The sequence below is a fragment of the Homo sapiens genome, chromosome 1 (assembly GCF_000001405.40).
Source record: "Homo sapiens chromosome 1, GRCh38.p14 Primary Assembly".
Classification (NCBI taxonomy): Eukaryota; Metazoa; Chordata; class Mammalia; order Primates; family Hominidae; genus Homo; species Homo sapiens.
In genome coordinates, this window is record NC_000001.11 from 90,805,965 (window position 1) to 90,821,559 (window position 15,595).

The 15,595-nt window shown below is 41.1% G+C and overlaps 2 long non-coding RNA genes across 2 annotated transcripts in view, besides 2 other annotated features; both read right to left on the minus strand.

Moving 5' to 3' along the window:
- LINC02609 (long intergenic non-protein coding RNA 2609) overlaps positions 1 to 15,595 on the minus strand; it is a 68,667-nt gene that overhangs the window by 22,981 nt on the left and 30,091 nt on the right. The gene's annotated exons all lie outside the window — the stretch shown is intronic.
- LOC124904217 (uncharacterized) lies at positions 1,508 to 4,544 on the minus strand. Its single transcript, XR_007066218.1, has 2 exons — positions 3,411 to 4,544; positions 1,508 to 2,188 (listed from the first exon to the last, which is right to left on the minus strand). It is a non-coding gene; the product is annotated as an uncharacterized LOC124904217 (long non-coding RNA).
- Positions 3,572 to 4,183: an enhancer, noted in NCBI's record as "NANOG-H3K27ac hESC enhancer chr1:91275093-91275704 (GRCh37/hg19 assembly coordinates)". NCBI's record gives its function as "activates a minimal SCP1, AML or CMV promoter by ChIP-STARR-seq in naive H9 embryonic stem cells {active_cell/tissue: H9 hESC(naive)}" and the evidence as "EXISTENCE:reporter gene assay evidence [ECO:0000049][PMID:30033119]".
- Positions 5,598 to 5,739: a silencer, noted in NCBI's record as "fragment chr1:91277119-91277260 (GRCh37/hg19 assembly coordinates)". NCBI's record gives its function as "represses an EF-1alpha promoter that drives an FKBP-Casp9 reporter gene in an ReSE screen in HepG2 liver carcinoma cells {active_cell/tissue: HepG2}" and the evidence as "EXISTENCE:reporter gene assay evidence [ECO:0000049][PMID:32094911]".

Genomic DNA, 15,595 nt, shown 5'->3' on the forward strand with positions numbered 1-15,595 from the left:
TTGTTTAATCTCCAAGTATCAAGCTCAGAGATTCTTTTCTCAGTGTATTCAGTCTACTAGTAAGCCCATTAACAACATTCTTAACTTCTCTTACAGTGTTTTTGTTCTCCAGTATTTTGTAAATCCTTCTTAGAACTTCCATCTCTCTATCCATCTGTTCTTGTATGTTGCCTACTTTTTCTGTCAGATCCCTCAGCACATTAATAGTAGTTGTTTTAAATTTATGGTCTAATTATGTCAACAATCCTGCCACATGAGGGTCTGGTTCTGACACTTGCTGTGTCTCTTCAGATAGTGTTTTGTTGGGTTGTTTTGGGGGTGGGGGGGGCGGTTAATGGAGGGGTGGGGCTGGGTTTTTTTTTGTTGTTGTTGTTTGCCTTTTAGTATGTATTGTAATTTTTTTTTTAGTCTGGACGTAATATACTAGATGAGAGGAATTGCAGTAAATAGACCTTTAGTGATGTAGCAGTAAGGTGTTGTGTGGGGGTGGGGAGTAGGGGGAGGATTCTATAGTCCTATGATTAGGTCTTAGTCTTTTAGTGAGCCTGTGCCTCTAGGTTGTGAACTTCACAAGTGACTCTCAGTTTCCCCCCATATTAGATGGGACAGGGTGGATAGAAGTTGCTGGAGTTAGGTATTTCCCTTTCGCCAGTTTGGTTAGTCTGTCTAAACCCCTGATAGGTTAGGATCTGGTAAAATAATTTCTCTTGAGGGCAAGCCTTGTTAAAGAGAACAGAATGCTCTGGCATACTTCAAGATGGCCACTTTTTCTCCATCCCCCTGCCAGAACCATGAGGAGATGTTCACTGTGAGAACATAGTAGAGCTCCAGGCAGTAAGACTCGAAAAAGTCTGAGGAGCCTCCTAGAGTTTTTAATTCACAGATTTGTCCACACTGAGCTTTTAGTAATTAATCAATTACAGTTCAGGTTTTCCTATCCCAGCATTGGTTTCTATAAAGGTTTCTGCTTGTGGGTTTCTACTTCGGTAAGTTGTCATTCTCTTATCTGTCTGTCTGTTTCCCCGGTTTTAAGGGCAATGGTTTACCCTGTAACCTCACTTCCTGACAGATCTAAAAAGAATTGATTTTTCAGCTTGGTCAGATTTTTACTTGTTTTTAGAGTGGAGCGGCTACTTCTAAGGTTTTTACATGCCAGAAAGGAACCCAAAAATCTGTACTTCATCTTTAGGCAGCATGGAATTATTAAAAGATGGGTAGATTGGTTAACTGATTCATAGGTTGGATTTTAGCAGAAAGATGACATAATTGAAAGTTATTATGTAATGGATTTTGGAGGCTAGGCAGCTGGGCAGCTCTGCTGTCCTGGTTGGTCTCACAAGTCTGAAGGTTGGCTGGTTGTAAGCTGACCATAGATAGCCAAGGCTGGGACAACTGGAATGACTTGGATTTGATGAATGAATCTTTCATCCTCCAACAGGCTGGCCTGGACATGTTTTTCTTCATGGTCATGGGAGAGGACAAGAGTGCAAACAGAAATATACAAGCATTACTTAAAAGCTTCTGTTTATATCATCCATTATCATCCCATTGGCCAAAGCAAGTCACATGGCTGAGCTTAGAATCAAGGGGTAGGAAAATGGATTCCACCTCTTCATAGGGGAACTACAAAGTCACATGGCAAAAGGCAAGGACACAGGAAGGGGTGAAGAATTGGAATGATAAATGCAAATATCTTGATTCAAATCCCAGTTCCTCTAGCTATGTGACCATGAGCAAAGTACCTGGAAACTGGTATAAAAAGAGTGCCTACCTCTTAGCATCATTGTTTGCATCAAATGAAAAGACCCATATAAAACACTTAGCATAGTACTTAGCCCACATAGGTAACTATAGGCCATGGGCACTGCATTGCAGTGGCAGAAAGAGGAGTTGAGATGCATATGGAGATTGTAGGCCTGTACTAGAGTAATGTTAATATGTTGTTCAGGACAGGTTGGAAATCTACATCTGAATGCACCCTGAAATATGATACTGTAACCAGAAGTGAAAATGTCTAGCCATATTTGGGAGGAATAGCAAAGGATGAATCTTCAGGAATAGGTATCCATATTCCTGTATGAGGACAATGGTAGTGCCATTCATTGATGAAAGCAAGGAGAATCAGGAAAGTTGCAGCTTCGGGACAGATGGCAAGATGTCCACTCCATCTGGGTCTCTAACTTAGTCTCTGGGAGTTTCATGAAAAGGAAGAGCAGAAAGAGTAGTCAATGACTTTTCTTAGCATGACATAAAACAAGGTATTTAATAATCATCCAAACCAGAGTTTTTATTTGGAAAACCTGCTGTTCTATACCATTTCTTCTGTATTAGGAAGGATAATTCTAAATATGAAACAAAACAAAATGAAAAAACTTGGAGAGAAGACTGCCCATTAGTCTGGTTTCCAGCAAGACATTCATCGAGGGCTCTCTGACACACTTGGCCACAGCCCCATTGGAGAGGTGATTATTCTTTTTCTTTTTCTTCTCTCTCTCTTTTTTTTTTTTTTTTTTGAGACGGAGTCTCGCTCTGTCACCAGGCTGGAGTGCTGTGGCGCAATCTCAGTTCACTGTAACCTCCGACTCCCTGGTTCAAGTGATTCTCCTGCCTCAGTCTCCTGAGTAGCTGGGATTACAGGCAAGCGCCACCACACCTGGCTATTTTTTGTATTTTAGTAGAGACAGAGCTTCACTATGTTGGCCAGGCTGATCTCGATCTGTTGACCTTGTGATCCACCCACCTCGGCCTCCCAAAGTGCTGGGATTACAGGCGTGAGCCACCGTGCCTGGCCGATTACTCTTACAATCACAGTAGAACCTGGGCTACAAGGTGCCAGAGGTAAGAGTGATGAAGAAGTTTTTACTCAATCTCATGGTTTCAATTTTTATAACAACTTTCAGTCTAATGGGTATTCACTTGCACTAGAACAATCCCAAGATGCAACCCTGAGAAAGACTCTCATGGCCCCTTAGCTTAAGCAATTGCCAGCCAAACAAAACAGCAAATTTCCCATGTACAAAGATTTAGTGCAGTGAGACTAGGATAAATAATGAAGGCATTTGTTTATGCCTGCTTACAACATTCCTCGTAGGCAAAAAGGGGAAGAAAACATCATTCCAAGCATGCAAAGGCAGCCACTGCAGGCTCATCAAAAATATGCATTTGCTTTTGTAGTCGAAGAGTGTGAGTTTGCTCTGCTTCACCTCCTGGCCTGGGCTCCTCTGATAGCTATGTAATTTAAATGAGAAAGTTGTCCTAGGGAGTCATCACATTTCAAAGAAGTGACCCTTTTTGGATGTTGAAAGGATCCTCAGTGTTTGGGTTCACTCCCAGGTGAGGTGATGTCATAGAGTTCTTGAGATGTCATCTAGAGAAACAGACCTTGGAAAGTCTAAACAGAAGTTGTTTACCTTGTCTTTTTGCTTGTTGTGCAAATGGGCCTCAGCTTTGGAGAGAAAACAAGCACGTTTCAAGCTCAGTCAAAGTCAAAATTCACCATTGCCGTCAGTCAAACCCTGACAAAAGAGGAGCTTTTGTTCATTCTTGCAGTGACCTGACTTCTACCATGAACTTTGTAACTAGGATGCCCATAGCATCCTCCAAATTGACCTCAAGCTGGTTGGGCTCAGCTTCACAGGGCAATTTGGGCGAGGCACTTTACTTCCTGTTCTTTCTCCTGAGGGACTGGTTCCTCTGAGTTCTCCCATTTATCCTTCTCCCCCACAACCATGCCAAGGAACTCCTGGTCCTCCTGGGAACAGAACCATTCAGGCAACCACGCTAGTCACAGTATTGTATTTCAGGCTGCATTCAGATGTGGATTTCCAACCTGTCCTGAACCTCATACATCCTTACACTGCCCTAGAGCCACTACTTTCCCAACATGCCCCACTGGCCCATATTGAGTGAGACCTGTTAAGAAAAGTCCCACCAGAGTAACTCTCTAGACAATGCAATCAAAAAAGACTCCTTCTCCATATAATGTTCAGCCTCCAATAACTGGCTTTTGTCTTCATGGCACAGAGCTTTATGTACTTTCTCAACTGCTCAACTGGAAATACTCTTTCTCTCTTTCACTTGCCAAATTAGGTTTAAAGAGAGGGTGCCTGGTTGCTGGATCATGCGAGGGTGTTAAATATCTCCACTGCTAGAAATCCAGCTACAGACATTAACGCCTACCTCCTGGCTCAAGAGTGAGTGTTAATGTTCCTGCTGCCAGGACATCTTTCATCCAGGGCCTCTCCCCTAGCCAGCACTCAGCCAGCGCCAGGGCCAGAGGAAGCAAGTCAAACCAGACTGGCATCCTGGCAGTGTTGATCCTCAGTTGGTGAGCACTAAACCAACAATCTCATCTTTTTAATCACTTCCAAAGCACTTTCAAGCAGAAGACAATTCTAAAGACCAAGAAGATACAGTTCATGGGAAGCATTGCTTTTAATAATAATAAATTTGCATAGCACTTCTAATAACAAAGCATTTTTACATAAAAATAACAAAAACCTTTTCTTAAAGGTTTACTTAACATACATACATTATATTAATTCTTTTTTTGTTCTTTTTTTTTGAGATGGAGTCTTATTCTGTCACCCAGGCTGGAGTGCAGTCGCACGATCTCGGTTCACTGCAACTTCTACCTCCCAAGTTCAAGCGATTCTCCTGCCTCAGCCTCCTGAGTAGCTGGGACTACAGGCATGCACCACCACACCCAGCTAATTTTTGTATTTTTAGTAGAGATGGGGTTTCGCCATGTTGACCAGGCTGGTCTCGAACTCCTGACCTTGAGCGATCCACCCACCTCAGCATCCCAAAGAGCTGGGATTACAAGCATGAGCCACCACATCCGGCCAACATACATTAATTCTTACCTCAACCTGGAGAGGAAACAAGCTACTGTTATTCTCATTTTACAGATAACTTAACAGGCTTGGAGAGGGTAAACGGTGGGCACCCATCACACTGCTCTCTGTTCAGCTGCCAAGTCCTTACCCTCAAACCACAGCTCCCTACTGGATTGCTGGATCCTAACAATAACTTTGTGAGCACACTAGGGCAGGCGCTGTTTTATACACCAGAAATTAGGGCATTTTGACCAAGAACAAAAAGTAGAAGACTTTGATTCAAGCTTAAGTCCAACTGAGTCCCAGATTAATGTACTTTCTACCAGTCCACACTGGCAATGATCACCCTAAGAGAATGGCATTTTCCCCAAGGCTTCATCATTCAGTTATTCATTCTTCCAAATGACATATATTTACTAAAGTCTTACTATGTGTCAAGCACTGTGTTGAGTGTAAAATATTTAAAAAATAAAGAATCGAACATAGAGCTTGCCCTCAAGTTGCTTACATCCAATAGAGGGGATAAGGCAGGTATGAAAGCAACTCTAACATAGGTCAAAGAGCAATCATTGCCATTTCATTTATTATTTATTTATTTATTTTGAGACAGAGTCTCTCTCTTGTTGCCCAGGCTGGAGTTCAGTGGTGCGATCTTGGCTCACTGCAAACTTTACTTCCTGGGTTCAAGCAATTCTTCTGCCTCAGCCGCCTGAGTAGCTGGGATTACAGGCACATGCTACCACACCCAGCTAATTTTTATATTTTTAGTAGAGACAGGATTTCGCCATGTTGGCCAGGCTGGTCTTGAACTCCTGACCTCAAGTGATCCGCCTGCCTTGGCCTCCCAAAGTGCTAGGATTACAGGCATGAACTACTGCACCCAGCCCTATCATTGCCATTTCAAAAGAGCAGATGATGATAAGTGAAGTTTGAAGGGGGCTGGGCTGATCTCTACACTTCAACATTTCTAAGCTGATCTCTACATTCTAAGCTTATCTCTACACTCCAGCATCTCACTGAAAACCCATGAAGATGTCTTTATCTTCAAAATTCAACGTATTTTACCACAAAAAGAGGAGAAGCTTACAGGAGGAGGAGACTGCTTTAGTCAAACCAGTCATACCCTAGGTAACCAAATAGTTGATGAAGGGAAGTTTCTTACCATCAAAGTAGTGTAGCTAAAAAATGTCAATGAGATGATAGAATTATCACCATTTTGCAATTCTCAAAAAAATAATGGATTTAGGCTATGATAGTCAACTGTTGCTAATATCACAAAAAAAGAGACACAAAAAGAGAGACAGATGTTATGTGTCTCCTGACAAAAGCAAATACCACCTATGAAGCAATCTTGCCAAAAATCCAAATCTGAACTTAATCAAGATTATCAGCCCACAGGAAATACAGGCAACAGAGAAATCTGTTAAATGATACCACAAGGATACAATAAATAGCATCTAGTATGTGGGAAACTCTGCAGGACAAATGAATAAGTTTCTATAGCAAATAAATTACAAGGGAAAAAAAGAATGGGAAGATGAGCCTATAGATTAAGAGACTCAAAAGATACACCGCCTAGCTGGATGCAGGGCTCACGCCTGTAACCCCAGCACTTTGGAAGGCCAAGGCAGGCAGATCACTTGAGGTCAGCAGTTCAAGACCAGCCCGGCCAATATGGTGAAACCCTGTCTCTACCAAAAATACAAAAATTAGCTGGGCATGATAGCAGGCGCCTGTAATCCCAGCTACTCAGGAGGCTGAGGCAGGAGAATTGCTTGAACACTGCAGGCGGAGGTTGCAGTGAGCCGAGATCATGCCACAGCACTCCAGCCTGGGCGACAAGGCAAGACTCCATTTCGGGGAGGTGGGAGGGGGGTATATATATATACCTCCCGATACAATAGGTAAACCTTCTTCGAATCCTGATTCAAACAAACCAAATTTAAGGTGCATACGCACGCTGAGGCCTTGGATATGATGAATATCTACACATCTTGCTGACTCCTGACCACTTAAAATTATCTCTTACATGGCCCTTGAAAACCCCAATCAACCAAAATTGGCTGTGCCTCAATCAGCCAAGACTTTAAACTTGCTTTTCTGCCATGCCTTAGATTTTAAAATGTCGGGGAAGAGAAGAGGGGTTTGAGGGAAGCTATATCTTTCTTAAGATATTTTTGTTTTGTTTCTTGTTTTTTTTTGTTTGTTTTTCGTTTGTTTTTGAGACAGGGTTTCTCTCTGTCACCCAAGCTGGAGTGCAGTGGCGCCATCTCGGCTCACTGCAACCTCCACTTCCCAGGCACAAGCGATCCTCCCACCTCAGCACCCACCCCCTACACCAGTAGCTGGGACCCCAGGTACATGTTACCACACCCAGCTAATTTTTTTGTGTATTTTGTAGAGATGAGGTTTTTGTGTCCAGGCTGGTTTCTTAGGCTATTTTTAAACAGTTGTATGCAATCTTTTAAATTATAATTGTAGGCCTGGCATGGTGGTTCACACCTGTAATCCTAGCATTTTGGGAGGCAGAGGTAGGTAGATTGCTTGTGCCCAGGAATTCAACACTAGCCTGGCCAACAAAGTGAGACTCTGTCTCTACAAAAAAATTTAAAAATTAGTCAGGTGTAGTGGCATGCACTTATGGTCCCAACTACATGGGAGGCTGAGGCAAGAGGATTGCTTGAGCCTAGGAGGTCGAGGCTGCAGTGAGCTGTGACTGCACCACTGCACTCTGGCCTGGACAATAGAGCAAGACCCTGTCTTATAAATAAATAAGTAAATGCATATTTGTCATTTCCAGTAAGCTAGTAAAAGCTATAGTCATTTTCTAAAAAAACAAAACAAAAACAGTCTTATGTGCTTCAGGAAAACTTCTACTTGGGAGGAAGTCATGCTTTTAATTATTTTTACAGTGAAAAATCCCCAATAAGGTGAGGAGCTTGAGTTCGGGTTTGCCTACAGTTTGAGTTTAGAATCATACGTATTGATTTCCTTCAAGTGGGGATCACTTGTAGATCCTCAGGGACCAAGTCCATCCTTGTCCTTCTACCTGCTACTCCACACTAGGAAACCAGAGGGTTCTTAACATCACCCTCAATTCTTGCAGATGCATCCCCGGAGTGTTGGACTTGAAAACCTCCTGGTCCCTTCCATTTGCCTAGTGGCTTTGATACAGGCACCACCAGGGCTGGATCTTTTAGAGAGGCCCCTCAGTTTGGAATGAAAGCCTCCAGCTAACAGCAAGTGCTCACAGGACAACAGAAGTGTAGTACTTCACTGCAAAGCATTTTGCATCCTTGAGCACTTAAGAGGTAACCTTAATGAGCACAAAATATTCCTCTCTAATAAGAACATGCTGTCATAATCACCCTCCATGTGATAAATATCCTGGAAGTTTTCTCTTTGTTAGGTTAATGCTTTTCCACAAGATAATTTAACCAATTCTCTAAAAAATAATCACACGTTATCAGGCCCCAATATAGTAATATGGTGTTGTGTGTGTGTTTTTTTTAATGTTTTGAATCTTGCCTTAAACAAATTCCATCCAAATAAATGTTCCCTTTTTTAGGTGGCACCAAAGCTTGTGTTGTTCATTGTAACCAAGCTCGCAGTTGGCTAACTCCTCATCTAACAGTATGTCTTCTGATTTCATTTGAGCAAAATTTATCATCCACAAGCAAAGACAAAAAATGTGTGAATGTCTAAAGCTTATGTAAATTAAGGGGCTATGCATGTTATTCCTAAAAATAGTAGACAATTATAGGCATTTCTTCCCCATACAATAATTATAGGCTTCCTGTCATCTTTTCTATTCTGTATAAGGTCACAGTAGTATTATACAAAATTTACAGTATGTTAACAGTTAAAAACACAATAATTAGCAACTGTGCATCTTCAGCACCAGTGATGAATGTTCACAGTAAAAGTTTTTAAAAAAAATGCATTATTTGTTTTATGTGGACAGTACACACTTAAATTTAATCATCAACTCCTGCTACCCAATAGGCAATATTCTCTCACTATTATAATGCTATTTGCCAAGTTCATAGTATACCCTAGGGCTGAATTCATCCTTAACGAAGAGACAGGAAGCCAAATCTCTCACCGTCATCTCAACCAGGTGCACCATATTATTTTAAATTTAATAATTCTGTTGAACATATTGAATGATAATGAGCAAGCTTAGAGAAAGTACCAAGGATTATTTTGACCATTATGATCAACATCTGATTCAGGGGAAAAAAAAATCTTCTCACTAAATAATGTAGGGAGTTCACAGGATTGCTTACTATGAGTGTTATTTTTTTTCCTCCTGCTTGTTTATATCATTCATTCAAAGGGAAAAATGTTAGGGATATTATAAGTCAGTGGATAAAAAAAGTAATTTTACAAAAAGGAGAGTTTATCCTCAGCTCTTAATTATCCATACTAATGGTAACAAAGAGCCACAGATAATACAAAATGACAGGACAGAGCTATCATTTCTGTTTTGCTTAAGGAAAAAGTCAAAGGGCCATATACCTCATTTTACGTTCCCCGGTTCTGTCATGCTGTCAGAAATGGTTTAGAAAGGATGAAGAATTAGCAAGAATGGGGCAAGAGAAGGTTCCAGAGGCCCAGAATCCTCAATCACAAACCCCATTCGTGGTTACATGTATCATCTGGTTTGCTCAGTGGTTTCATACCTTGGACTATGAAGGGTTCTTCCCCTGTTTGTCATGCTGGGGCCTAGAAGATCACTGTAAACAGGAATGCTCGCCTCTAGGGCTGTGCCCCTCAAAGGTAATTCAGAACCCAGAGACCAGCATCCCAGCAGGAACTATGAATAGATGAGAGCAACCATTTGGCTTTGTGTTTAAAAACACCTGATTGACTGATGCCCATCTTAGCCATTTCCCTCCTGAGCGGAACAGTATGTATAGAAATTAAGACTATGGACTCCAGAGTCAGACTTTCTTGGTTCAAATCCCAATGCTACTCTTCAAGCTCCATGACCTCAGGTGTAACCTTTTTATGACTCAGTTTTCTTATCTATAAAATGGGGAAACTAATAATTGTGAGCATTAAAAGAATATATAAGTGAGATATATAACCATTGTGTGATTAAATGTCCCTCAGCCACTAAGACTTGCTGTGGCAATTGACCAGACTGCAATCCATTTGGAGCTACTACCTTGGAATCTTCCGCACAACAATGCCAAATCCCCACCACCATGAAGGCAGTCTCATCTTTTTGCTGGTCAGTCCTTAAGAATAATGTAAAATATGCCTCAAATTAAGAGCACAAGTTTTGGGATCAGGTAAGTCAACAACACACAAATCTCTCTTCAGCCAGGACCTCCATTCTGAGCTTTCAGCTAACCCATGCAACTGCCTGGTTGACATCTCCCCATGGATGTTTCTCCAGCCCTGCAAACACAACTGAACTCATTATCTTCCTTCACAAACCTGGTTCTCTTGCTCCCCTCCTCAATGAGAGATACCACTAGAAGAGGGTCATCCTTGACCTTCTTTTCCCTAAACTCTGACTGACATTCAACCCATTAAGAGAAAAGACCCTTACTCATTTCCAGCTTGCACTCCTCCCTTCTGCCTTCTCAACCATCTCCATTTCCATCTGGGGAAAAAAAAAAAGCTGACCCCATAGCTCTAGAAAAGCTGACCCCACAGCTCTAGAAGGAGAGCTCATGACTTGAGCTAAGTCAATCAGAGAATTCCATCTTTCTAGCTTCAATAATTTGCTCAGAAATGTGCATGAGATTTAAATTGGTCCAATTAGAGTGAGACTTGAGACTTTTGCTGAGAATGCTGGAACAAAGATGCTTTCTTTCAAATAGGGTGAAAAGAAAGAAGCATGTAGCCTTGGAGCCACTGGCAGCTACCTTGGGAGCATGGGGCATGGGGGAAGTCCCTTTAAGATAAAACACATATGGCAAAAGGTAAAATAGAGAGCCAAACAGAAAGCAGTCCCCTCGAGAGTTTACTGAGCTTTGCCTGAATCCAGCCTCATCTCTACATATTGCAGTTATATAAGCCAGTAAGTCAGTACTTTTAAATCAGTTTCTACTACTTACAATTGAAAGCATTCCAAATGACTCCATCCATAGGTCTACCTACTAAATATTTCTAGAATGTGTTCACTTCCATCTCCTCCACCACCACCCTGGTCCAAACTACCATTATTTTCTACCTGAACTATTGCAATAGACTCATAATTAGTCCTCTTGCTTCCTCAGGTGTACCCCTTCCCACTCCATTCTATTCAAGTAGTCAGCATAATCTTTAAAAATATTTAAATATGATTAAATTGCTTCCCAGCTTAAAGTCCTCTAATGACTTCTTGCTGGGATTAGGATAAAGTCCAAACTCTAACAAAGCCTTCCAGGCCCAATATGACTTGGTCCTTTTCCTTCTCCTTCATCCTCTCCCTCATCGTATCCAGGATGTGAGGATGTGTGAGTCCCTCTTGGTCTTGAAACTCCACATACAATTACCTTTTCGCAGTTCTTTTGGTGAAGACACACCATGTTCTTTTGTGCCTTAGGTCTTTTGTACATGCTGTCCATTCACCTAGGCCACCCTCTCCCCCAGCCTATGACCACATCTTTCCAAGACCCTTTTGCCTACCTCACCCCTTGGATCTCGGTGGTGTTCTGCACAGAAGCCTCCAACAATAGGTCCCCTTGTCACATGCTCCTACTCCCCTCTGTGTCTCCCTCTCACAACAGCATCACACTTCGAATTACTTATTTAACCATCTGCTTCCTCCACATCTGTCTCCTTCAATGGTATATCATCACCACCTAGCCCAGCACAGGTCTGAAACATAGCAGGCACCCAATTAATGGTTAACGTAATTGAGATAAGCATAAATTCTGTCTAAGTGACTTTTTAACTTGTTAACCCTGGGCAAGCTGCTTAACCTCCTTGAGCTTCTGTGTCTTCATCTTTAAAAAATGCAAAGGATAATACCCACCTCACAGGGCTATTTGATGATTAAATTAAATATAATTGGGGCACATAGTAAATGGTGAACAAATCTCTAGTGTCTTAGTTAGCAGTCTCCAGAGAAACAGAGCCAAAAGGAAACACACACACACACACACACCACACATACACCACACACACATACACACATATATATAGGCACTAGAGCATGTACATATATATATGTTTTATATATATATATATTATATATATATATAATATATATATATATACAGAGAGAGAGAGAGATTGTGGGAGTCAGCTCATGTGATTATGGAGGCTGAGAAGTCTCCATGATCCACTCTCTGAAAGCTGGAGAAAAAGAAAAGCTGGGGGTGTAATTATTCAGTCATTCCATCTGAAGCCTGAAGTCCAAGTCCAAAGGCCCAAGAACCAGGGGAGCCTATGGTGAAGGCCTGCTCTGAGTCTGAAAGCCAAAAAGCCAGGAGCACCAATATCTGAGAACGGGAGAAGACGGCTGGATGTTCCAGCTCAGCGAGATGGAATTTGTCCCTCCTCTGCCTTTTTGCTCTACTTGGGCCCTCAGCAGATTGGCTGATGCCCACCCACACTGGTGAAGCTGACCTTCTTAACTCAGTCTACTAATTCAAATGCTATGCTTTTCTAGAAACACCCTTACAGACTGATATGGTTTGGCTGTGTCCCCACCCAAATCTCATCTTGAATTGGAGCTCCCATAATTCCCGCATGTTGTGGGAGGGACCCAGTGGGAGATAATTGAATCATGGGGGTGGTTTCCCCCATACTGTTCTCATGGTAATGAATAAGTCTCATGAGATCTGATGGTTTTATAAGTGGAAACCCCTTTCACTTGGTTTTCATTCTTTCTTGTCTGCCACCCTGTAAGATGTGACTTTCACCTTCTGCCATGATTGTGAGGCTTCCCCAGCCATGTGGAACTGTGAGTTCATTAAACCTCTTTTTCTTTAGTAATTACCCAGTCTTGGGTATGCCTTTATCAGCAGCATGAAAACGGATTAATATACAGATACATGCAGAAATAACATTTTACTAGCTGTCTGGGTATCTCTTAGCCCAGCCTAGTTGACACATAAAAGTAACCATCACATCTAGGGAGTAGGGTATCCCAAGTCAGGGATCTCTCCAGGTCTCAGGTGGTGAAAAAGAACCGTAAGAATCAACTGCTTTATAAAAGAATCTAAACTGAGGCTGGAGTGAAAGAGTGAGTTTCCACGGTGAAAGATTCCTTGAAAAGGCCCCCCAAACAACTATGCCATTCGAAGGAACTGAAATAATTTGTAAGCAAAACACCAGGTGAATATAGTCAGCCCTTTATATCCAAGGGTTCCACGTCCTCAGGTTCAACCGACTGCAGATGGAAAATATTTGAGAAGAAAAAATAAAAAGTAATAATACAACAATAAAATATAATACAAATTAAAATATAGTGTAACAACTATTTATATGGCATTTACATTGTATTAGGTATTATAAGTAATCTAGAGATGATTTAAAGTATATATGGGAGGATGTGTGTAGGTGATGTACAAATACTATGCTATTTTGTATGAGGAACTTGAGCATCCATGGATTTTGGTGTCCAAGGGCAGTGCTCTAAATAATCCCCTGTAGATACCGAGGGATGACTGTATGCACATCATGATTCCATACATACATCTATACATCTGGAAGGAGAAAGCTTGGGTTTTAGTTTGTTGTTTTAATATTTATCAATATTATTTTTGATAAATTTATCAATATTATTCTTGAATATGAATAAAACAAGTTGTCATTTTAAGAACAAGAAAATAATTAATAGTGCCAAATTAATACTTTGTACTTTAGGAGAAACTAATTGGTAAACCGTCATGCTTACTCTTGTAAATAAATGGCAAGAATGATTAGCTCCTGGTCTCTGTAACAGCACCTCAAAATGTGAAGACTGAACTTCTGTCCTGGGGTACTTTACCAAATTTTAAAGTCATAACAAATATGCCATTTATCCTCCCCATGCATTCAATTATATCTCACCTCAAATTGAGCACTGCATTAAGAAACTTATCTGCAGTCTCTAGTTTTATTCAATTCTCAAACTCTAAAGTAGGTGTCATCATTTACATTATACGGATGAAAAAGCTGGCCGGGCGCGGCAGTTCACACCTGTAATCCCAGCATTTTGGGAGGCCAAGGCGGGTGGATCACCTGAGGTCAGGAGTTCGAGACCAGCCTGGCCAACATGGTGAAACCTCATCTCTACTAAAAATACAAAATTAGCTGGGCTTGGTGGTGCAAGCATGTAATCCTAGCTCTGGAGGCTGAGGCAGGAGAATCGCTTGAACCTGGGGGATGGAGGTTGCAGTGAGCTGAGATCGCACCATTGCACTCCAGCCTGGGCAACAAGGGCGAAACTCTGTCTCAAAAAAAGAAAAGAAAAAGCTGAGGCCTTAGTTCTGTCTGACTCCAATACACAACCTCTTTCTTCATAGCATTTCTGATTTGTGATTAGGTTTACTGCATGCTTGTTTGTTTAACATCCTGACCAAATTGTAACTTCCTTAAGGGTAGGCGCCTTGTTTGTTTTGTCTACCCTTTTGCAAGAGCCCAGAATGGTGCCTGCTATATATTTGTTATTTGTTGTTCAATATTTATTTATTGAATACATAAGTGAATGGATGCTTTGATTTAACAGAGTAATTAGATGAAAATTCGGTATTTGAAATAAAACAATACACAAGTTAAACTAAACATCCAGGAAGGCTTGGTTTCTCTGTAGCCCACTGGTATTTAAATACCTGAGAACCGATTGGGGATATGCCGACAGCCCATTAAAGAACCGGTGCTCAATGTTTAAAGACCTGCTTTCCCTCAAGTCCTGAATGGCTGTTTGGTTTCTGCAGAGCATCCTCTGTTGAGCTGCAAGGCCCTCATTTGTATTAGAAGTGAGAGCTGGTTCGAAAGTCAACTTAGATGGGACAAATATGTTCTTTTGACTTAATGATATAACATTTTATCAGCCACATAAAAAATGAAATATATGTGTTCATTTGCTATTTGAGGAGCTTTTTCGGCGTGTATGCAGGAGCTATGTCAGCTGCTAACTGGTGATCCTTTTTTGACACCTTTTCCCAAGAGTATTGCATAGATAAACATACTCTAGTTGAACAAGACCAGTGACAGCAAAATTGCTTGCTTGTCTCTAAAAAGACTCTAATAATGTGCACCAAGGGAGAGGCCCATGATCTGACAGAATTTTTTTTTCCCCAGTGTAAACCATAAAATCCATTTCAGTAGCCAGAATAAAGCAGTTTAAAGTGCATCCCTAGTTAATTACATCCAAAGAGTAATAATAAAATCAACTGTTAAATTTTAGAACTTCCTCTTTAAAGTATTAAATATCTGGGAACTGCAATGCAGTTAAATTTCTCTCAGAACAATGCTTTCCGTTGCTTAGGCTGGCCCCTAAGAATACTTATGCAAACTCTTTCGGTGTGCTAGAGAGTGTGTTTTTCCTGTGAAGAAGTATTTCAAATAAACCCTTGTTTCTGCCAGATGTCTGTGGCTTATTAAATAACCAATAGAGGAATAGGTTCATTCACTTAATAAGAGGATATCACTGAGTCACAAATCTTCTATAATAATTGACAGTACATGACCAAAAATAATTGTGAAACCAAAACTAAAATGTTGTTTGTGTCCTAATACCGTATTTGAAGCCTTGACTCAGTTGCCTCAGCAGGTTTCAATCCAGACATTGTCTGGCCTTTAAAATTTGGCCCTTGATAATGTCA